Raw genomic sequence first — 24777 nt, forward strand, 5'->3', positions numbered from 1 at the left:
CCACCTACAAAAGTGTCTTGAACTTGATGCAGCTTACGTTGAGAAACGGAGTTTATATTTTTAATTTTTCTCTTTATAATTCAAATTTTCCATGAATTTTTGAAGTCCCCTCATATGTGGGAGTGAGTGAAGAGACAGAAGTCCAGACTGGGACTCATGAAGAAGTGTCTGTTCTCAAGTTTCTATGGGGGGCACTCTTGGAGCTACAAGTGAATCTCAGAGTCCTCCATGTCTGGGAGAAATTGAAATTGCTGGATAGAAGGACTCACTCTTAAATCCCATTTTAGGAGGCAGAGACCGGGACAGAGTTCTCATCTGCAGAGTCTAGCTCAGTGCTTTACATACCTAGCACAGGCTGATTCATACATCTCCCCCGCCCCTGCCAAATGACCTTCGAAGACTTCATGAAAATGTCCTCCCTTCCCATGGGGTGGGGAGGTGATGGGGATGGTTAATGTGTACAAGAAATAACTAGAAAGAATGAATAAGACCTAGCATTTGACAGCACAACAGGGTGACTATAGTCAATAATAATTTAATTGTACATTTAAAAATGACTAAAAGAGTATAATTGGATTATTTGTAACACAAAGAATAAATGTTTGAGGGGATGGATACTCCATTCTCCATGATGTGATTATTACACATTGCATGCCTGTAATAAAATATCTCATGTATTCCATAAATATGTACACCTACAATGTACCCAGAAAAATAAAAACTAAAAAATTAAAACAAAATTCCTCCCTTTCCAAGTAAAGCCAGCTGACTTTGTGTTTCTGAGGCCTGTAAATTCCTGCATTCTCTCTCCTCTTGAATTGGATCCTGACATCACATAGAACTAAGTGCTTATTAGAGGAAAAAGTATTTCATATCAATATATTTCTATATAACAATTATAAATATATTTCATAATTGCTATTATATATAAACATATATAGTTATATATTTTATATAATATAAATATATGTTTTATATAGTTATATATTTTATATAATATACATATATAAATTTTATATATTTTATATAATATACATATATAAATTTTATATATTTATATATTTTATATAATATACTTATATAAATTTTATATATTTTATATAATATACATATATAAATTTTATATAATATACATATATAAATTTTATATATTTTATATTTCATATAATATATATAAATTTTATATATTTTATATAATATACATATATAAATTTTATATATTTATATATTTTATATAATATACACATATCACATATTTATATATTTTATATAATATACACATATCACATATTCATATATTTTATATAATATACACATATCACATATTCATATATTTTATATAATATACACATATCACATATTCATATATTTTATATAATATACACATAGCACATATTCATATATTTTATATAATATACACATAGCACATATTCATATATTTTATATAATATACACATAGCACATATTCATATATTTTATATAATATACACATAGCACATATTCATATATTTTATATAATATACACATATCACATATTCATATATTTTATATAATATACACATATCACATATTCATATATTTTATATAATATGCACATATCACATATTCATATATTTTATATAATATGCATATATCACATGTTTATATATTTTATATAATATGCATATATCACATGTTTATATATTTTATATAATATACATATATAACATGTTTATATGTTTTATATATTTATACATTTTGTGTGTGTGTGTGTGTGTGTATGTATATATATATTTATTTTTTATTTTTATTTTTTTAGAGACAGAGTCTCACTCTGTTGCCCAGGCTGGAGTGCAGTAGTGCTATCTTGATGGACTGCAATCTCACCTCTTCCCAGGTTCAAATGACTCTCCTGCCTCAGCCTCCCAAGTAGCTGGGATTACAGGCACCCGCCACCACGCCCAGTTAAGTTTTGTATTTTTAGTAGAGACGGGGTTTCACCATGTTGGCCAGGCTGGTCTTGAACTCTTGACCTCAAGCAATCCACCCTCCTCGGCCTCCCAAAGTGCTGGGATTACAGGCATAAGCCACTGTACACGGCTGTATTTTTTATATTTGATACAGGAATAGGCTTATTTAATCTCAGATTAGGGTCAAGAATATAACGTTTAACACGTGGATATAGTATGTTTGTTAAGAATGCTACCTGGATTTAAATCGGGTTCTACCATTCACTAACGTTGTGACCTGGGGGAAGTTACTCAATAGCCCTAGGCATCTGCATGTTTTTCCTTTTCATTTATAAACTGGGATGAAAATAGACCTTACATAAAGTGTTACTGCAAAGCATGTATAAAAGGTCTTCCTCGTATGACTTTAAAAAATGCTCACACAAGGCGCTGTGGGTGTATGTTCTTCACCATTTGGAAACAAGGTTTGGACTTAGTGGAAGCAAGCTTGCTTTAGCGAAGAGCTGCGCTTCTCCTTGGCACATTTCAGTTGCATCACCTATCAAGGCAGAGATCATGGCCTGCAACTGAGTCAGCACACTGGCTGATGGTACAGAGGAGGAGAAGGGAGGAGGAGGGAGAAAGAAGTCAGGCGTGTTCCCATTTGAGCAGCTCTCCCCTGCGGGGGCTGACACTCTCGGAGGTGCTCCTGAGCACCCCAGAGCCCCGGGCTTGGGCTCTCCTCAACCCGGCTCACCTGGGGTGTGGGTGGCGGTAGGGGTGGTGTGCCAAGATGACGTGCTCATCTCAGGACGACGTCAGCTTCTGTTGTGCAGCTGAGAGGTCTTATGCCTCACAAAGATGCTCTGGAATTTCCACTGCTTAAGAAATGCAACTTTTTAATCATAAGAAATGATATATGGTGATTGTTGAAAATTTGCAAGATATGCCAAGGATATGGAAAAATAATCTTTAATTTTGCCAGCCAGAAATAACTATTATTAAAATTGTTTAGGCCAGGCGCGATGGCTCACACCTGCAATCCCAGCACTTTGGGAGCCCCAGCCGGGCGGATCACCTGAGGTCAGGAGTTTGAGACCAGCCTGGCTAACATGGCAAAACCCCGTCTCTACTAAAAATACAAAAATTAGCTGGGCATGGTGGCACATGCCTGTAGTCCCAGCTACTTGGGAGACTGAGGCAGGAGAATCCCTTGAACCCGGAAGGCAGAGGTTGCAATAAGCCAGTAGAAATTAGGAGCTTCTGCTTCTTGTTATAAAGCACTTAAGGGTTGCTTAATTTTGTATTAGCAAATTAGATATTTAGAGGACTTGAAGAAAATATATAAAATAATTTTTTTTTGAGACGGAATTTCGCTCTTGTCACCTACGTTGGAGTGCAGTGGCCTAAGGGATTTGTCACTCAATTTTTTGCTCAGATATGCCTTTACGCATAGTATTAAGCATTTTATTTATTCATATATATTTTTAATAGAGACTGTGTGTTGCTGTGTTGCCCAGGCTGGTCTCAGACTCTGAACACAAGTGATCCTCCTGTGTTGGCCTTCCAAAGTGTTAGAATTACAGGTGTGAGCCACCGCGCCTGGTTAACGAAGCATTTTAGAGGCAAATTGTGCCACTTCTACTATCTGGTTTTGGTTTAACTCTGGGGTCCTGTTTAACTCTATTTTTTTTCACTGTGGTCTTTTTTTTTTTCTCTTAAGTTTGCTTCTTAGAAAATTTCACACAGCCTGTTTTCTGTAATATAGTACAGTTTATCATTTAATATAAAATTTCTTCTAGACAAACACCAGAAGTTGAAAAGACAAAAAGTATGAAATAAATCCTCAAAATAGAGTAGTTAGGAAAAAGAATTATAAATCTGGGGCTTTTAAAATAGTTTTTTTTCCATCTCAGTCAGAAACTTTAAAGCAGTCACTTTATCTTCCCTGACTCAGTTTCTCCACAAGTGAAAAGACATAATAGTCCACAGTGACTAGTTAGGATCCTTTATAGTCAACTGTGAATGGCTGGAAACGTGGACAGCTAATATGATTCCACTATTGTATGGGAGAGGCATCATGTGAATTAGTGGGAATCACCTTTATTAGTGAAGAAAAAAATCACTTGATGATTTGTAGGAATCCGGGGAGAATGCTGAGAATTTGTGGCTGAAACTTCTCTTAGGAAAAGAGAGAGATTGAGTGAGAGCGAGAGCGAGACAGAGAGAGAGAGAGAGAGAGAAAGCGAGAGGCACATGCTAGAACAAAGCTCCTTTCATTTGTTCCTGGGAGTGGCTGGGTGTGTCAAATCATCCCTCAGCCTCGATGCTGAGTAATCAAGTATAATATTTGCAAAGCTTCAACCTATAGGTAAGAAAAAGCACCAACAAAACAGTCTCCTAGGTTATTAAATATTTAGTCCAATGATTACTTGTGTTGAACTAGAGGAAGTTATTGCTTCATACAATTGTATAATGAATGAATGAATAATTCATTCTTTGAGCTATGTATCTCCCCTCCAAAAAATCTACTCTTTTAAATATATAGTCAATAAAATGGTTTTTGTGGCAAATAAAGAGAGGGGAAAACATTATGGATTATTTTTGAAATTATAGAGCAAATGCTTTTTCCTACAAACAGGTGTATTCTTTGTCACTAAATTTTTTTAAATAAATCATTTATTTGGTTGGGTGCGGTGGCTTACGCCTGTAATCCCAGCACTTTGGGAGTCTGAGGCAGGTGGGTCACAAGGTCAGGAGATCAAGATCATCCTGGCTAACAAGGTGAAACCCCGTCTCTACTAAAAAATAAAATAAAAAAAAAATTAGCTGGGCATGGTGGCGGGCGCCTGTAGTCCCAGCTACTTGGGAGGCTGAGGCAGGAGAATGGCATGAACCCAGGAGGTGGAGCTTGCAGTGAGCCGAGATCGTGCCACTGCACTCCAGCCTGGGCGACAGAGCGAGACTCCGTCTCAAAAAAAAAAAAAAAAAAAAAAAAAAAAAAAAAAAAAAAAGAATCATTTATTTTACAAATGTAAAGTGTTTGGGATGAATCAGATGTACTGGTCTTCATATACAAAGAGAACTGGAGGAAAGGTAGCTGGTATTTAAGGAAATGTCAAACTGACTTCAAATTTTGGGTTGAATTCATCCTTAGTTGAATTCCTGTCGGGTAGGGTTATTTCCCACTCATTCATTCTCTACCCACTATGTGCTAAGTACCCACTATGTGCCAGATACTATTCTAAGTTCTTGGACTACATCAGTGAAAAAAACAGACCAAAAAAATCTGCTTAGATTTCAGCTGAAGGAGGCCATCAACAGTAAACATAATAAGTGAATTGTATAGTATATCATATAGAAAACTATAAAATCTGGCCTTATATCTGCTTCTTATAGGTTCAAAGTTCATCAAGAAGAAGGGAGATCAAAAATACTCTGGAGTTGACTATTCATGGGCCCACATAAAAAGCTTTTCATGAGGCAAGAGACTGAAGATTATAACAGGATAATAACACCATATTGTTATTTTTATGTTGTTGCTCTCTGAGTTATTAGTATGAGTAGAACCTTTTTTCTTATAAGTCTGATGCTTCTAAGTCCACTTGTTAACATAATTGACATGACAACTTTGTTCTTTCCAGGCATTTCCTTCAGGATGTATGTTTTTTTTTTTTTTTTTTTTTTTTTTTTACAGTATAACAATTAGTGTAGGTATCTGACTTATAGAAATGCAAAGCTAAACTGTAGTCGGCTTGAGATCCATAGTTAGGTCTTATTCTGGGTCTTGCCCAGGGTCTGACACACTCAAAAAATGCTTATTCAGTCAATCACAGACTCCAATCAAAATGTCCAGTTAAAACAGGGAAGCAGAGTAGAAACCTATTGAATGCAGAAGACTTTATTGAGGCCACTCTTTCCTAAAATTAATCAGCAGGCATGTTCTCCAGAAACTAGTTTGAAATTCTGTAATTTAAAAAATGTGAACTGCTTGTATAACTCCATCCTCTCCCACTTTTCTGTTTTCTAGTGTCTTTTTAGGTAGAATTCTAAAGAACTTAAAATTTTGGCTGCCGTGGAAAAGAATATTACTGGGAAATGGGTCTTCTCAGTCAAATAGAATCACAGTTTTAATACTCTTTCCACTGAATGGGAACCACTTTTTTTTTTCCTGCAATTTTGCCTAAATCAACAGTGTGTTTTGTCAATGATGTTACACCTGAGACTTGTGAGTCCTTGCCTTACTTGGGTTCAATGAGAGGGTGAGAACATTCACGTACAGGGTCTGACCTCCAGAGATACTTCAACAAGTGAAAGCTTTTGACAGGAAATGTTCTGTTTAATCTTTTGTTAACATATCTGTCCAATATACCTTGTATCATCCCAGCTCTGGACCTCCGTTCTCAGGCTTAAATGGTCTCCTGATGTCCAATGATGCTGCCTCCATGATCCTTCCCCAGTCATAGCCAGACTGAAAAGGTCACACCCATCTCTGAACTACTTTTGTCATTTGCACCTCTCTTAAGTCCCTTATTACATGCCTCCAGATACTTTCTTTTGTTTCTTGTCTTCCTACTGTACCCTTTGGGGAGAGGGAACATGTCTTATAGCCCCAGTCGAATGGTGCCTCTAATTTTCACCCAGTTAGAATCACCCAAAGGCATTTCACTTTGCTAGAACTTCCTTGGGTATTGTTGAATTCCTGTCATTGGAAATGTTTCTGCCCCGGTTGAGCAAGCACTGAACAGGAGTGTTTTAGAGGGAATTAAAACTTCAAAAAGGAGAATAGAGAGGCTCTACCATTTAAATGCAAGTCGCTTGAAATCTGTAGACCACAGTAGCAAGCACGAAGCAGGTATTCAATAAATGTGGTGAATTCAATGTCAATAACATGCTCCAGTCTTTTGTCCACTATTCCCCGAGCCTACCTAACCAATGGGCAAAGTGGTACTAATTGCCATCATTAGGAAGCACATGCTATGTGTCAGAAAGTATGTAAGAATTGTCTCTTCATCCATCTCTGTCTATATCTCATTTTATCGATCTTATTGACAAATGAGAACTATATATAGATCTCATTTTACAGATGAGGAATCTGAAGATAAAGGGATTAAGCAATTTGCTCAGGATTTCTCAAGCAATGAGTGGTTAGACTTAGTTTGCAAATTTATGACTCTGCTCCCAAATTCTCATTTTCCCTCCTACAGCTGGATAATAGAATTTTTAAGAAGCATCCTTCCACACCTCCTCACCTATGACCTTCCCTCCACTTGCTCCACTGATGCCTAAAATTCTGTTTTTGGAGTTCACTTAGTTTATGACTTTGATTCTGGTTAACATTAAAATACCCAGGACATGGGGGAGGGGAAGCTGTTATCAATCTTAGTTTAGTCAGTTAATATAGCGAGTTGCTCTTATTCATTACTCAACAAGCACTTATTGACTGCATACTGTACATCAGGTCTGTACCAAGCTTTGGTGTTATAAAAATGAATGAAGTTTGGCACTTACCTTTAACATTGTTGTAGTCACATATAGGAGAATGTAAGAGATTATTATGAAACAATGTAGTAAATGTACAATAGGGAATTCTAGATAAGCACAGCAGAGAAGCAACCAGCTCCGTTTCAGGTCCTTTCCTGAGACTGATTCGGCTGGAAGGGAGTAGGTCCCGCCAAATGAAGAAGCTGTGGGAAGACAGGAGGACAAGAACAGGCTCCACGAAGAGATTTCAGAGCAGAGCTGCGTACTCCTTTTTCTTTTTGTTTCTTTTGCTCTGTCACCCAGGCTGAAGTACAGTGGTTAGCTCACGGCTCACTGCAGCTTTGACCTCCCAGGCTCAAGTGATCCTCTCGTCTCAGCTTTCCAAGTAACTGGGACCACAGGCATGCATCACCACACTAGGCTATTGTTTTACATTTTTTGTAGAGATGGGGTCTCACCATGTTGCCCAGGTTGGTCTCAAACTCCTGGGCTCAAGCAATCCGCTCACGTCAACCTCCCCAAATGCTGGGATTACAGGCGTGAGCCACCGCGCCAGGCCTGAGTAATCCTAATCACAGGATTTTAAAAAGAAACTTCCTGCGCCACCCATTAAACAATATCTCCTACCAATTTGGTAGTAAATATTTTGCTAATAGTACCTAATTTTTAGGTAGGCACTGTGTTTATACATATATCCATTCCTTCTTTTTTGATTGTCTTTCTGTTTAATGGGCAGCTACCTCTCTTGGCATCTAGCAGAATGAGCTGCTGCAGTTTACACAAAAAGAATGGAGATCAGAGTACTTTTTGTGCCACCAACGTGTCTGAGAAATTTGTAGTGTTACTATCATCACACATTACTTTTATTTCATCGAATATTTCACCTTCCGGTCCTGCGTGGGCCGAGAGGATTGCCGTACGCATGTCTGTACGTATGCATGTAACTCACAGCCCCTTCCTGCCCGAACATGTTGGAGGCCTTTTGGAAGCTGTGCAGACAACAGTAACTTCAGCCTGAATCATTTCTTTCAATTGTGGACAAGCTGCCAAGAGGCTTGAGTAGGAGAGGAGTGCCGCCGAGGCGGGGCGGGGCGGGGCGTGGAGCTGGGCTGGCAGTGGGCGTGGCGGTGCTGCCCAGGTGAGCCACCGCTGCTTCTGCCCAGACACGGTCGCCTCCACATCCAGGTCTTTGTGCTCCTCGCTTGCCTGTTCCTTTTCCACGCATTTTCCAGGATAACTGTGACTCCAGGTAAGCAAGGTGGGGTAGCAGGGCTGGTGACTTCCTTTTTTCAGGGAAATTCATAAATATCGTTATTTGAGCTGATTTGAGATGGTGAACAAAATGGACTTAGGTCCATTTTGGGGCTGTTTTCAAAGACGGGCTGTTGGGTTGAGTACTGTCGCCTCTCATCCCCCATGTTGGCAGTATTTCCAGCTCCCAACCCTTTGAGCACCAGGAACACTGCAGAGGGAGTAAAATCACTTAACCATACAAGGTAAGAATATGAAGAAGTCACGTGGCTCGGAGGTTTTGGTGGTAGAGGGGTGCAACCGTGATTCACGGAGGAGAAAATACTTCTGAGGACATTTTCAGGCCTACTTTGGAACTCAGAATGAATTTTGCAATGCTAGTTTCAGAAAGGGTGTGGTACCCGCAAACTGGGGAAAGTTGAGAAGTATTGGTGGGTCTGGCTGGCTCTTCTCCCTGGCTGACGTTGTAAGGCTGAGATTTAGGCATATGGACTGCCCTTCTTTTTGGCATTTTTAAGCATCAGATCGCTGTTCATCTACTTGCAACTGCATTCTTCTAAGCGGAAATTATTCTCCCTTCAGTTTTCTGGGTTTCAGCATAACTTTAAACAAGTTACACATTTCAGATGCATATTCTTGGACTTATAAATTGTAATAGCTGCTTGTAGTTTCTTACTCATATGCTGTACACTTTTTCTTATGGCTTCATTTAAGCATATCATACTAAAAACCAACATGCCAGGCTATTCCAGAGACTTGTAACCAGATCCTCAGAGCTGGGGGCTCTTAGACATATTTCAGCCCAGCCCCCTCATTCTGTAGATGAGGAGCAGAACTCACAGAGGTGATCTGGTGTCCAAAGGCACACAGCTTGTAAGTAGCACCGCTGAGATCAAATCAGGCCTTCACACTTGCAGCTCGGGATGTTTCCACAACACCGTGGGTTCTGTTACCATCTTTTTCATCCCCTACATCTCCCGGGAGGTTTTCGATAATGGGTTCCAAACCTCAGTCCCTGTCAGTTAGTGTAAGTGTTCGATGAGTTCCTTCATGGGTGGAGATGAAGCCTGTCTGAGGAAAGGAGTCTCCAAAGGAAATGAGTCAGCAGGTTTATATCTTTGCTTCCTAACGCCTTGAATTGTGCCACTTCAATCCCTCTGGGTTGTGGATTGACTTTGGGGCTATGCAGTCTCAGCGATTTGGGCCATTCTGGTGTGGCTGAGTCTGGCTGTAAGTTTACTGCTTGGCAACAGTGGGCTGGGTCAGTGGTCAAGATCAGGCTTCTAAAGAGACAGGAGCAGCTATGATGCTTCAGAGCAAAGCAGACGCCCCCCTGCCATGGGAAATTAAAGCAATTACTAATAGCTGTATTGTACTTTCTTGCCCACAAAGCACTTTTCATATACATTGATTCACTTAATCACTTCGTTTAGTCCTCATAGTCTTTCACATTGCAGAAACTTCAAAATATCCTATTTTCTTAATCCTGCACATCCTTTGCTCCTCAAAGACTTAGAATGTGGACAACAGAGGTTGTGTTTTTTGGCATTCCATTACTGATATTATAATAGGCAAGGTTTCTCATGGCATTCCCTAAGGACTGGTTATACCAAATACTTGAGAGATGTTTTTCACCATGTCTTTCCATCTTTAAAATGAGGCAGGCCAGGCTAAATGATATCTACGATACTCTGACACAGTAAAAACGTAGTTTTTTTTTTTTTTTTCTTGAGATGGAGTCTTGCTTTGTCACCCAGGATGGAGTGCAGTGGCACGATCTTGGCTCACCGCAACCTCACCCTCCCAGGTTCAAGTGATTTTTCTGTCTCAGCCTCCCAAGTAGCTGGGATGACAGGCACGTGCCACCACGCCCGGCTAATTTCTATATTTTTGGTAGACACAGGGTTTCACCATGTTGGCCAGGCTGGTCTCGAACTCCTGACCTCAAGTGATCTGCCCGCCTTGGCCTCCCAAAGTGCTGGGATTACAGGTGTGAGCCACTGTACCCGGCCAAAAGTTAAGGTTTTAAGGGATGAAAAAACTATACTCATAGCTCTGTTTAAATATGCACGCCCGTGATGTGTGGGTGAAGAGTGTGGTTGATGGTCTATAAGTAAAATGAACATATATTGTTCAAATCAGGATATGTTTGAGAGTAAACGGGGCACTGTTATCAATGTCAAGACAACAGACATAAACCAGGATTGTCCCAGGCAAAGTGGGATGTATATATCCTACCCACAGGACTTTTTTCTCACCTAAATGGTCTAAAGACAAAAAATGTGAGGACCATTGGCTCAGATGCATAAAAAACTTAGGAAATCTTCATACAAAGACCAGTGACAAGCTATAAGTCTAGAGAAGTGAGCACGGCCCTACCCCCAGCCCAGTACATGCGTCTCCATTCACTGGGGCCTCTCTGAATTGAGTCAGTTCTCCCTGTCCCACGTTTTTGCAAGGCTAACTCCTACTTATCCTGTAGGACTCACCTTTAATGTGACTTACTCAGTTGTCACTGTCTCTGAGGAGGTGTCACTGAGGTTTCTAGTATGGGGGGTCTGTCACTCCTGGGGATCCCATAGTGACTTGGGTGCTCATCAAAACACTTAAAACAGTCATCATACCACTAACTGACAGCTCCTTGGAGGCAGGGGCTATGTCGTTTTCACCTTTTCTTAATGCTTACCCTGACACAAATTAGGTACTCAGTTAATACTTACTAGATGAAAGCAACATCATACCAAGAGTTTACAACATAAGTGGCAGAAAGGGAACAAGGGCTTCTTCAAGTAGGAAAATCATAGGGAAGAAGTTTTGTGTCGATTGAACAAACCATGCAGGATATGTTGATATCTTCAAGGGGAGACTTCAGGACATGCAGGATTTTTGGAACTCGAGAGACTTCTGAGAGAACAAATGCCAGCAAAGATGCAATTAACAAGAAAGCAGGTGATCAGGTGTGGCGGGGAAGTGCCAGGCTGGGAGCTAGAAGCAATGAATTCTAGGTCTGGTTTTGCCACTCTCACTCCCTGCGTGGGTGGCCTGGGAGACTCACTTCATCTTTGTCTGCCTCATTTTCCTCATCTGTAAAATGAAGAGGTGTGGCCAGCCTAGATCCTCTCCAAGATCTTGTCCCACTTTCAAGGTTTATAATTTGCACAGATTGCGAAAGCAAGGTACTTGGAAATAAGTTCTTAAAACTGCATTTGTATTACTGCTTGAACTTCCATCTATCTCACTTTCCTATGGTTAAAATAAAGTTCCTTTTAAACTTTTAAGTGCTGAAAGATGTAGCGTTTTCTACATTGCAACTATAAACGAAGTTCTCCTTGTTAAAATGGTTACAGGGTTTTCACAGAAATGGAAGAAGACCCTTGTGACAAGGCAACAGAATGAAAAAAAATTTGTAGCAATTTTAGCACTTTCAACAGAAGTCATTAGGCACATTAAATTTATTATATAGGAATTGCTAATCTCTACTCTGGTACTTGCAATTTTATAGCATTTGATCATGCAAAATGGTCTGTGTAGGAAGTTTGTATTTTTTCCAGGTCATGTATTGTTAACATTGCTGAGGTTTGTTTAAATGCTTTGATTGTCTTGCAACACAGTCATGTGGCAACTGTGGCCAAAGTCATCTTTTGAGCTACCTCAGACCAGATCAACTTTATAGTGTTTTTAGGTCACTTGGGACTAATCACAGAGCCACTGATCAGATTTACCGGGCAGTATTTGATTGATTACTTAGTGGGTGATTTTTTGCAACTACAACCTTTTCCATGTACAGACCTTTTCTGTTTCCTTTAGCCAGCATCAAACAATGCTCTTGCCACTGGGACCCCAGATACTAAGGGCTGTATGACCTTCCCAGACATGAAGGAGAATTTTCTGAGAAAGGAGCCAGTCAGCATAGGAACAGGAAGGCAGATCTCTTTGCGTTCATGCACTGAGGATTAGCATGCAAAGGAAGGGACTCACTCAAAGGGAAGGTCCGCCAATGGTGAGAGAAAGCCCCAGAGATGTTAGGATGTCAGATGTGCACTGATTTACATCTCCAACAGGGACCTGGATCTAAGCCTTGAATTGCAACACAGCATTAATTGTATTGTGTAATTAACTACACTAAAAGCCACAATGATCTTGTATCCACAATCATTTAGACTAAATGTATCTCAAAATGTTGTGACAAGTGAATGAATAATGCTTTAGTGAAATAAAATGGTAAAATGAACATCTCCTCACCATTTGATCCACTCCTAAGATCCATTTGTAGGTGTTTGCAGCCAAACTCCCTCAGCACATTAAGATCTTAAACACCATCTTTCTATACAAAGGAAATCACTAAAAGTATAGTTTGTTATTGACTATGCAAAATTATTCTAGTTTCTCTTGGAGGATAATAAATACGTGCTTGGAGGAGCTACTTGTGTTTGTTAAAGCAGTTTGTGTGTTTTCATATTATTATCAGTGCGATTAGCTCTCCACTGGTGGAAGTGTTAAGAAGCTTTCAGGGATCTGGGTTTAGGCTTCTCTATTTGGTGAAGAAATAACTCATTACTTCTTGTACATGTTGAGTTTTACTTGTAGATGAACTTGGCATTACTAATATTAAATGTGCTGTGGAAGGAAGCCAGGTTTCCTATTCTGAAAGTCTGTCCACAGATTCCCCAAACCTTTTGTGAAGAGTTTCTTTATGTTTTCCCAGTGGCAGGCACACTGGGTGAAACACTCAACAGGCTTTCATTTTTGCCTCAGTATACCCTGCTGACCTCAGTATACACCTAATGCCAGTCACCTTTCCCTGGGGTGTGATGTCACCTGTAGGCCCTTGCCCCTGCCCTGAGGGGAGAAGGAGTAAGGTTGTGGGCTTTAAAGAAAAGTGAGAGGCCCACCTGACTTCAGGGGGCCTCGTGGTATATTTGCAATGGGAACTGGCCTGAGCGCATGGCTGTACTTATCAGGGACATATGGAGAAGGAGGAAGCCCATGGAAATGACCAGTGAGCATGAACAGAGTCAATAAAACATTATTTTTGGATAATGAACTCGCTTTTTCAGACTCTGAGATATAATCGATTTAAGTCCATCCTACACACAAGCCATATATCCCATAAAAGGGAGAATTCTGAAGAAATGTTTAAAGACCAGGAGTCCTCTCCTCCATCTTATTCTCGTCTTTGCATTCTGAATTTGTGTCCAGGTATAAGGTGCAAATTGCAATCCTATTCATCATGCCTTTGACTCTTGACACACGTTTGGGTACTGGCCAAAGGGAGTCCTCTATCTTAAGCAGTGGAGCTTACTTTCTAATGCCAGGGTGCATGTCCTACCTGAAGACCTTCAATGTCACATTCGGCCCTTGTGTCTGTGTGTGTGCGCCTGAGGCTTTGGGGGAACACTTCGAGTTTAATCCCTGTACTGCTCACCCCGGGGTAGTAATATCAATTCATTTCCCTTAGAAACATGCTGTCCTGGCTTAGGCAGAACCTCAGGAGTTCATGTAGTTCAGCTCTGCTCCCAGAAAGGGAAGCCCTGACTGCCTGAATTTACCTAATTGTCTTTGGAGTCGATCAGTAACTACCAGACTAAATAGGTAGGTAGACCTTTATTAGAACAGTGAAGCTTTTTAAATCTGAGGACCCTGTTACACTCTTAAAAATTACCGAGGACCCCAAAGAACTGTTTCTTTAAAAAAAATGTAGATTATATCTATCACTATTTACCAAACTAGAAATGAAAACCAGACACATTTTGAAATGTTCATTTACTAATTTATTAAAATAATATAATAATTAAATACTAATATGAATAATATATATATTAAAAAACATTTTCTAAAGTGAAAAAATGTAATGAGAAGAGTGATATTGTTTTTCATTTTTGCAAATCTCCTTAATATTTGGCTTAATAGAAGGGATGTCATATAGCCTCTGGAAAACTCCGCTGTCTATTAGAGATTGAGAATGATAATGTCTTAGTATTATCATGAGAATAGTTTTAACCTCATGGACCTCCTGAAAGGGTGTTAGGGACTGCCAGGAGTCAAGACACAACACTTTGGAAGTTGCTGTGTTAAAATTAAAGAGCTCTGAGATGTGACAAGATGCCTAGTTGCTGCTATATCCACTTTACCAGGCTACATATTTTGAAACTGTTCCCTCTTTTCTTTAACTCCCATATTACTTATTATACCACTCACATGTCTTGGGCAGCTCTGTATTCTAGTTATTTGTCTGCATATCTGCCCAAAGAGACTATGAGCTTAGAGAAGGAGGAGGTCCACTGATCCTTGTAACACTCTGGGTAGTGTCTTACACACAGATGCGTATTATAAACGCAAACAATAACCGCTGCTGTTTATTAAGTATTGTTATGTGCTGGGTGTCCTGCAAAGGCATTAGTTACTTTAAGGGTTTTCTAGCACTTCTCACAAAGCACCACAAACCAGGCAGCTTAAAGCAACAGAAGCTTTATTCACCCACAGGCTTGGAGGCCAGTACTTTGAAATGACGATGTCGGCAGGGTCATGCTGTCTCAAAAGGCTCCAGGGGAGAATGTTCCATGACTTTCTCTTGGTTTCTGGTGTTGCCAGCAGTTCTTAGCATTCTTTGGCTTGTGGAAGCATCCCTCCAATCTCTGCCTCCATTGCCATACGGCATGCCCTTCACACAGGTGAAGACATTTGTGTCTTCACATCTTCCCTCTGTGTATGTCTGTTTCTGTGTCTCTCCTCTTATTCCTTTAAGGACACCAGTCATATCGGATTAGGGCTCACCTAACTCCAATGTAACTTCATCTTAACTAATTATATATTAGTTAAGAAATAGGACATACCCTGTTTCCACGTAAGGTCACATTCACAGGTAATGGGGATTAGGACTTAACATATCTTTTTGGGGGACACAATTCAACCCATTACACTTACTAAATATTAAACTGAACAATGCAAAACTGCTGCAATTCGACTGTTTTTGTTTTATAAAAGTTTTAACTTTGTAGTTTAACTGAAATCCTAATGGAAACAATATGTGATAAATAAAACCAACTGATGTTGATTAGTGCTGTCAACTTTTCTGACATATGCTGGAGAAGAGATGTGACCACTGGGCTCCCGACAATGGCCACTGTGGCTGAGCAGGCCCAAGACTGCAGAGTCTAGGCAGAGCTGGACACACAGAGGACCTCACATGCCTTCAGACATTTGCCTGGAAGTTTCTTCACAACTGATCTTACTTTTGAATTTACAGAAAGTTCCTTGTTTCTTCTGAGATCAATTACTTTGTTTAAATAGAATTCTTATAGTGTTGGCAGAATGCAGTTGAGAAGACGTTAAAGATGCTTTAGAAACTAACTGCTCCCTTGTCCTTGCTTCCAGGCCCGCAATGGATGCCCTGCAACTAGCAAATTCGGCTTTTGCCGTTGATCTGTTCAAACAACTATGTGAAAAGGAGCCACTGGGCAATGTCCTCTTCTCTCCAATCTGTCTCTCCACCTCTCTGTCACTTGCTCAAGTGGGTGCTAAAGGTGACACTGCAAATGAAATTGGACAGGTAAGCCCCAAAACCTTGTTTCTACTTTAAGTGGGAATACAGTTATTAGAACCCATAGGCAGTGCCTACGGAAAAAAGGAATGTAGACTTTGTGGCCAGAATTGGTCAAGATTCAGAACTGTGCCATTCCAGGACTCTCTTAATCTTTTTTTTTTTTTTTTTTTTTTGTGAGACAGGGTCCCACTCTGTCACCCATGCTGGAGTGCAGTGGTGCGATGTTGGCTCACTGCAGCCTCCAGGTTCAAGCGATTGTTGTGCCTCAGCCTGCCGAGTAGCTGGGATGACAGGCGCGTGCCACAACGCCAGGCAAATTTTTGTATTTTTAGTAGAGACAGGGTTTCACCATGTGGCCAGGCTGGTCTCGAACTCCTGACTTCAGGTGATCCGCCTGCCTCGGCCTCCCAAAATGCTGGGATTACAGGCATCTTAATTTATTTTTAAATGTGAAAGCTCGCTTGTAGGTAATGCAACTCACATCTGGGACAGGCACCAGGCTGTGATGGAGAACCTGGAGATCTGCTGGGTAATCACAGCTTTTTCATTCTGACTTATAATATTTTCAATTTACAATGGTTTTATTGAGATGTAACCTCATCATAAATCAAGCAGCATCTGTATCGTTTTAGGGTTTCTTTCTGGCTATGGTTGATTATCTAGCTTTGTAAAGTTCTTAGACCTTCAAATGAGACAATTTTCCTGATTGTTCCGTTTTAAGTCCTCATGTACTTTTACATAATAGGTGAATGTTCTTCTAATTCTATTTCATTATTACTCTTATGCTAATCATTCTAGGTTCAATAGAATTTCTTTTCTATTAGCTCATAAGCATTTAAAAAGGCAACACCTTCTTGTATTCATATGTGTCCAGAAAGTATGGCCCATAAGAGTTATTTAGGTAAGGATGAAGAATTTACACTTGGGACTTGAAGCAGCTTCACTCCTGTGAAGAGGAGATGTATCTTGACATCAAGCCACATCTCTGAACTGCGCAACTCCACTATCCCTACCCAATCTCCCATTCCTCATTTCTCATCTACCATTAGAGAAAGGCCAGCGAAAGAGAACTTCCGGGTAGTGGGTCTGTTCCTCAGTAATTCCTCAAGCTCTTCTCAGTATATGCAACTGGTTCCCCAGCAGTAGTTACCTGGGCTCTTAAATTTTCTGGTCTCCTTCATCCATCTTTAGGCATGAGAGTTATGCACTGTCTGGGACCAGCATTTGACCCTGCAATGCTGAGGCTATGTAATTCATTGGGACAATGTGCCGGTTTGGCAGCGTTCGTTATCTGGGTTGTGGAATCACAGCATGGCCATTATGAGTTATGGAGCGAGGAGGGTGTCATCTTATGCTGACATTACATGTTGTGGTGTTGCAAGGCAGAAAAGATGCTGGACTATTGGTTGGAACAATAAAAAAAAAAAAGGAAAAAAATACAATGATTTAAGCCCTCCAAATGATAGTATCCTGGTTTTAAATGGCTTACAATATTATTACAAGAATAATTAACAGTTTGAATCCATATAATATTTTACGTGTTTTACATATAAGTAATCCTCATTAACAACTCAGGAAAGCAGGTATTTTCAGCCCATTTTACGGAGAGGAAAGGAGGCTCTGAAGAGTTGGAGAAGATTCTCTGAAGAGTTGGAGAAGAGGTGGTGAAGGCTGGGATTCACAGGCAGGGCCATCTGACTCTAGCCAGCCCAGGGCAGCCCACCATTTATTGTAGCTGCCCATCAGAAATGACACATCTATTTACCTGGCATTTGCTAAAGCACCCAGAGGGACTAGACAGACTCTGGCTAGAGGCACTTGTCCTGAAATCTGATTCCTGCCTGATGATGGTGTCTCTTGTATCAATCTCTCTCTCTGGTCTTTGAATTGGATAGAAATTATAACCCAGCTTCATCGTTCTCCAAGTTTGGAAATCCTTCTGTGTGAGTATTAAGGGCATCACTTTGAAGAAAGGACAAATGTTCTCGATGGTTGATTTGGAAGAGTACCTTTATGGTAGTGTTTCTCAGTGGGGACAATTTGTCCTCCCCTTCCCACTCTGGGATAATCTGGCAATGTCTGGAGACATTCTGGGTTCTCACAAATAGGAGGAGGATGCCACTGGCATCTAGTAGGTCAGCGATGCTGCTAAGCATCCTGCAGTGCCCAGGACAGCCCCACAAAGACTCATCCAGCCTGAATGTCAATAGTGCTGAGGTTGAGGAGCCTTACTTTACGGGAACTAGGCAGGAGGAGTCTGTATGCCCAAGGACGTTGGTCATTATCACGTGTCCACTTCAGTACAGCACTACTCAGAGGCAATGCTTTTTGGGTAACGGATTTTTCTCTTAACAGGTTCTTCATTTTGAAAATGTCAAAGATGTACCCTTTGGATTTCAAACAGTAACATCGGATGTAAACAAACTTAGTTCCTTTTACTCACTGAAACTAATCAAGCGGCTCTACGTAGACAAATCTCTGAATCTTTCTACAGTAAGTTGTTTAAAGCAAGTAGCAAGACTTAACTTTTTACAAGGAGTGGCATTTTCATGCTGTTAGACCTACAACTTTTTTTCAGTGAAATTCCTTTCTAGGATGTTCACTTGTGATTTGAGGCTTTAAATAAATAAATCCTAGTGGAGAGGTTGAGTATAGTGGGAATCAATTGCAGTCACATCTTCTAACTCAAAATACAGAGAAGCTTATGGGCTTTCCTTTTCTCTCTCAAATAAATCTTACCCTTTCTTTTACCTTCCTCTGAGAGAATGGAGAACAGAGTAATTAACTCTCTAATAAATGTAGCTCCATAGACAATGAGCTGTCTTACAGAGTGTAAGACAGCTAATGATTTAAACTTCTTTCTCCTTAAAGAGCAGGGCATATGGCCTGGGACAATGTTTTAAGCTCTCCACCTCATTTTTTATGCACACATTCTTCTGATGTTTCTCAAAATCAGTAAGAAAAATAATAACTATGAATTCACAATTTTCATCAGTCACAAATTAGTTTTGTTGGCTGGGCTGGTCAGATGGGGATCTCCACAGGCAGCTCTGGTTATATAAGTTTAGCCATTGCTCTAAGGAATCATACAAACACCACTACGGTACCCATTGTTGTAATATTTAAAAATCTGTATTTGAAACACACAGACAATATTCTAGACTACATGAAGTTTCCCTCTGTACTTCAGTAACACAGAGTTGATTTAGTTCCTGTTTGGATGGTCAGAATTTCAAGGTTTCCAAATCGAAAAGCTAGACTACCAGCTTTTAAATATTTTACCATGATTTTGCAACTTTCTGCAGTAGGTATTTTTGTGGTTAAGATCTTTTGAGGACATGGGTTACTAGATATTGTGAGTATATTTTTTGTTGCTTAAAGATACATACACACAACCATTTTTCTTCCAACAATCATCTGAAGAATTTAAAAAAAAAAACTGAGATGTGAGTTGAAGCCTGAGCATACAACATTTCTAGAAGCTCCCTAAATGATCATTAAAGAGACAATTAACACATTTTTATTGCTGGCAGTGAGGACAATGGAGGCCCTCCTTCATCTGGCTGAGGCTTTCTAATGTTTTCAGGTGAGATTGGTTCTGTCAGTCAATGGTGACAGTGAGTCCCAAGGTTGATTTGCAATTAACTGAAGCTAAGTTAATTGGCTAAGGCTGAAGCTGCTCTGAAGAAATTCAAGAAGCCCTGTGCTTGGAAGTGAACTGACATGACACTGAATCAAGTTATATTTAGTTTCACTGAACTTCCATGCAACATCTGGAATGATCTTAACCAGACTAGGAGTTGTAAAGTTTTGTTTTGTTTTTTTCCTTGGAGATGGAGTCTTTCTCTGTTGCCCAGGCTGGGGTGCAGCGGCATGATCTCGGCTCATTACAAAAGATTTTTTAAAAGACTGCTTTCCATTGCTCCTGCTAGGTGCACAGCATCTGCAAATTTACTAGTTAAAGGTCCAAACAAGTGTGCTCTGTGGAGGATCTCTTGCATAAGAACTATCTGGGTGTTAAAAGGGCAAGTTCTTCAGGCCCTTTTAACACCCAGGTAGTTCTGATTGAACCCAGGTAGTTCTGATTAAACCCAGGTAGTTCTGATTGTCAAGGTGGGAATGGGGTTTAGGGTTGCACATTTTAAATAAGCATTAGAATAAGAACTCCTGTTATGTTCTCTCCTGCATTGTGTTTCCAACCTTAATTTGCAGATGGCACACCTGGAAATTTTGTTAAAATGCATTCTGATTCAGTATGTCTGGGGTGGGGTCTGAGATTCTTTATTTCTAACAAGGTCTCAGGTGATGCTGTACACCACCTTGGACCACAGTTTGAGTAGCAAGGGTCTACAGGATATTTAGTTCAGCAAAGACAAGAGTTTTCTGCTCATAATTCTGTTTTCTATACATTTCCTATATTCTAATATATATGTATCTGTAGACATACAAAATTTTCATGTTTCTGAAATTACAACCCATAAGAGAATTGGGCATATTTAACATAGTGTTTTCCCCAAAGCTGATATTAAATTGATAGATGCATTTAATAATTGAAATTGTCTTATAATTGAAAAAAATGAAACATTCAATACAAAGAAATTCACTGACTTCTACATGAGGTTTCAATTCATATAGTGTTACCAATTTTGAAAGTGTACATATAGCAGTTGATATTTAATAATCCTTTTGTTAGAAGAGAATAACAATGCAATAGCTTGACTACAGACTCTGATTTTATGAACTGCATGTTTTTCAGGAGTTCATCAGCTCTACGAAGAGACCGTATGCAAAGGAATTGGAAACTGTTGACTTCAAAGATAAATTGGAAGAAACGAAAGGTCAGATCAACAACTCAATTAAGGATCTCACAGATGGCAAGTACCCTTTAATTGTTCTGCTATCAATCACCAAGTAAACAGGGCCTTCCATCTCATAAATGTTTGCTCCAAGGATAAAAAAAACATCTGGAGGATTCTCTGGATATTTTTACTACACAAGCTAAATTCTTTCCCTTCAAGCCTGTAAACAACTTGGATTTCTGGGCAATTCTTGTATCATCTCATCACTTGGTAGAAACTGTTGATGCTTCAGTGTTAGTTTACTTTGTCTTGCTCTCTGACGAGCTGTCACAGGCCCTAGTGGAATCCTAGCTGCGCCTCTAACAAAGTATGACTTTGGGCCAATCATGAGGCCATTTTTCAGTCTGGAAATAGAGGGACTGGATTATAACTTCATGATCCCCGAGGCCCCTTTCAGCTGACAAATTTTACAAATTTGTTAAGGAAAAAGGGACATAGGCAACATATGTAAAAGAAAAACCGGCTGGACGCGGTGGCTCACGCCTGTAATCCCAGCACTTTGGGAGGCCAAGGCGGGCGGATCACGAGGTCAGGAGATCGAGACCATCCTGGCTAACACGGTGAAACCCTGTCTCTACTAAAAATACAAAAAATTAGCCGGGCGTGGTGGCGGGCGCCTGTAGTCCCAGCTACTCGGGAGGCTGAGACAGGAGAATGGCGTGAACCCGGGAGGCGGAGCTTGCAGTGAGCAGAGATCGCGCCACTGCACTCCAGCCTGGGCGACAGAGTGAGACTCTGTCTTAAAAAAAGAAAACCAAACCAAACAAAACCGTAGTGTCAGCTTGTCCTCGGTGCCGCAGCTCCCCATGCTGGTCGTTCCTCTGATAGCCCCGGGGTCCAAGAAGCTCCTAGGTTCTTTCTCCGGCTCAGTGCTTCCCCCAGGCGTCTCCCTCGTCGGACTCCTCGTCCCTCCCTTAAAATTGCCGGTGAGTCGTCTTCCTTGCTGGAAAAGAATTAGGGTTATGATGATTTTGAGGGCAAATCAGTGACTTTGTCCCCCTCCCCAGTGGATATATTTATAATTGCATCTGGAGGGACCCGTTGGGAGGCCGGGCCGAATCTAGTCATGAAAGAATGAAGCCTAGGCAGTCGCTGCTGTCTAGGGAGGGATACACTTCCGGGGCAAGGGAGACCCACTTCCTGCGAGAATGACTGGCGCCCCCAGCTACTCTGTCTCTGTACTGACTGAGGAAGTTCTAACAGGACAGTAACTGCAGGATGAGAACATGGGAAGAACAGGGTCTCTGGAGTCATTCAGCACCTAGGTTCAAATCCAGACACTGGTACTTACTAACTGATATTTGGACACAAAGCTTCAATTTACTGAACTGTAAAATGAGGCACATGTTACCTGATTTAATTTTTAAAATTGTATTATATTGTGTTTTATTTCAATAGGTTTTGGGGAACAGGTGGTTTTTGGTTACATGGATAAGCTCTTTAGTGGTTACTTCTGAGATTTTGGTGTACCCATCACCCAAGCAGTGTACACTGTGTGCAATGTGTAGTCTTCTATCTCTCACCTCCTTCCACTCTTCCCCCACCCCACAAAGTCCATTATGTCATTATTATGCCTTTGCATCCTCATAGCTTAGCTCCCACTTATAAGTGAGAACATACAATGTTTGGTTTTCCATTCCTAAGTTACTTCACTTAGAATAATGGTCTTCAGACCAGGCATGGTGGCTCATGCCATAATCCCAGCACTTTGGGAGGCCAAGGCAGCTGGATCACCTGAGGTCAGGAGCTCAGGACCAGTCTGGCCAACATGGTGAAACCCCGTCTCTACTAAAAATACAAAAATCAGCTGGGCATGGTGTCACGCACCTGTAGTCCCAGCTACTTGGGAGGCTGAGGCAGGATAATCGCTTGAACCTGGGAGGCGGAGGTTGCAATGAGCTGAGATCGCGCCATTGCACTCCAGCCTGGGTGAGAAGAGAGAAACTGCGTCTCCCAAAAAAAAAAAAAAAAAAAAAAAAGAATAATGGTCTTCAGCTCCATCTAGGTTGCTGTGAATGCCATTCTTTCTTTCATTTTTTTTTTGAGATAGAATGTTGCTCTGTCGCCCAGGCTGGAGTGCAGCGGCACGATCTTGGCTTACTGTAACCTCCGCCTCCCAGGTTCAAGGGATTCTCCTGTCTCAGCCTCCCAAGTAGCTGGGGCTACAGGTGCGTGCCACTACGCCCAGCTAATCTTTGTATTTTTAGTAGAGATGGGGTTTCACCATGTTGGCCAGGCTGGTCTCAAACTCCTGACCTCAGGTGATCCACCCGCCTCAGCCTCCCAAAGTGCTGGGATTACAGGTGTCAGCCACCGCATCCAGCCATGAAAAGACTTCTGAGTTTGAAATGGGAGGCTCAGGGTTGAAGTTGAAGCTCTGTCGTTTACCGGCTCCCACACTTCTTTGTTCTTCAGGTTTCTTCAATAACACTAATATATATTTAACATATTATATAGCATTGGCAGGACCAGTTACATAATTTGCATGGTCCAGGGCAAAAGTAAAAATGCTGGGCTTCTTGTTTAAACATTTATTAAGAATTTTGAGGTAGTGACAGCTGAACATTAAACCAAGTGCAGGGTCCTTCACACAGGGGTCACAGGCCTGTGAAGTGGGCCCTGAACATTGGTCTGAAAATTGGAGATTAGGTGAATGAAAACCCTTTATAAAAAACCTGTGGGCTATTCAAATGTGAGGAGTTCTTTTTATTAAGGGATCACTCCCCTTGAATTGTTTTGGCTATTGGGATTTAGCTTTATAATAACTGCAATTGTGATTGAGCCCTATGGTGATTACAGTTGACCTTGAGGCAATCAGCCTGCCCGCAAGGAGTGCAATTGAGAGAGTGGATGGAGAGCTGTGGGGTGAAGGGGACAACCTTCAGACATGTTTTCCAGCTGAGGAAACTAGAACAGCTCCTTGGCCTCTCTGAGCCTCAGTTTACTGCACTGTAAAATGGAGATAATGATCTTTGCCTTATAGGACCATTGTGAAAAGACTGAGATAATATATGTGAAATTCTGCCATAAAGAAAGTGATTACGTATTTTCATTCAAGAGCACAGGCTTTGGAGTCAGAAAGAGCTGGCTTTGAATCCTGAATCCACCCTTGTTTATATATCATCCTTGAAAGTGACTTATCATCGCTGAGTCTCAGCTTCCTCATTCATAAAGTAGGAAGAAATATATATAATGTGTATCAAATAGCTTGTATACTGCCTGACACAGAATAGGCATTCAGAATGGTAGCTGTGCTTTCCTTCTTATTTCTCTTCCTTTCTTCCCTGCTCCTTCATTCTCCTCTGCTGACCTCTTTGGTAGATCTGGTTGTGTCAAGGTAGAAGGAGAGAAAGGAGTCCTTCTGAAATTTGATGGTTGGAACCATCAGGCCTTACATGGTGTGACTCCATGAAGTGGTAAATACTCAGTGAATATGCATGTGAATTTCAGATGTAGTTTGGAAGAATAATTCTGCTACTTGTGTTTTCCTAAAATTGTTGCAGGCCACTTTGAGAACATTTTAGCTGACAACAGTGTGAACGACCAGACCAAAATCCTTGTGGTTAATGCTGCCTACTTTGTTGGCAAGTGGATGAAGAAATTTTCTGAATCAGAAACAAAAGAATGTCCTTTCAGAGTCAACAAGGTATGTGGGGCAGCATGTAGCAGTAAAAGGAGCCCAATTATAGATGTGAAAAATGATAGGGACAGA

The 24777-nt window shown here is 40.6% G+C and overlaps 1 protein-coding gene across 2 annotated transcripts in view, besides 1 other annotated feature; it reads left to right on the forward strand.

The window, feature by feature from the left end:
* Nucleotides 7323-8522: an enhancer, noted in NCBI's record as "CDK7 strongly-dependent group 2 enhancer chr18:61142940-61144139 (GRCh37/hg19 assembly coordinates)". NCBI's record gives its function as "activates an origin of replication core promoter dependent on BRD2, BRD4, P300/CBP, MED14 and CDK7 cofactors, with strong dependence on CDK7, by STARR-seq in HCT116 cells {active_cell/tissue: HCT116}" and the evidence as "EXISTENCE:reporter gene assay evidence [ECO:0000049][PMID:35650434]".
* SERPINB5 (serpin family B member 5) overlaps nt 8574-24777 on the forward strand; it is a 28128-nt gene continuing 11924 nt past the window's right edge. The window contains exons 1-5 of one of the 2 annotated variants that reach the window (NM_002639.5): nt 8574-8661; nt 16038-16212; nt 18562-18699; nt 20963-21080; nt 24569-24711. In NM_002639.5, coding sequence (NP_002630.2) covers nt 16045-16212; nt 18562-18699; nt 20963-21080; nt 24569-24711 — 567 coding nt within the window. In that variant the 5' untranslated portion in view covers nt 8574-8661; nt 16038-16044. Of the gene's footprint in view, nt 8662-16037; nt 16213-18561; nt 18700-20962; nt 21081-22229; nt 22349-24568; nt 24712-24777 lie in introns of those variants that run through there. The other variant, XM_006722483.4, reaches the window with a different exon arrangement.

The sequence above is a fragment of the Homo sapiens genome, chromosome 18, assembly GCF_000001405.40.
Source record: "Homo sapiens chromosome 18, GRCh38.p14 Primary Assembly".
Lineage (NCBI taxonomy): Eukaryota > Metazoa > Chordata > Mammalia > Primates > Hominidae > Homo > Homo sapiens.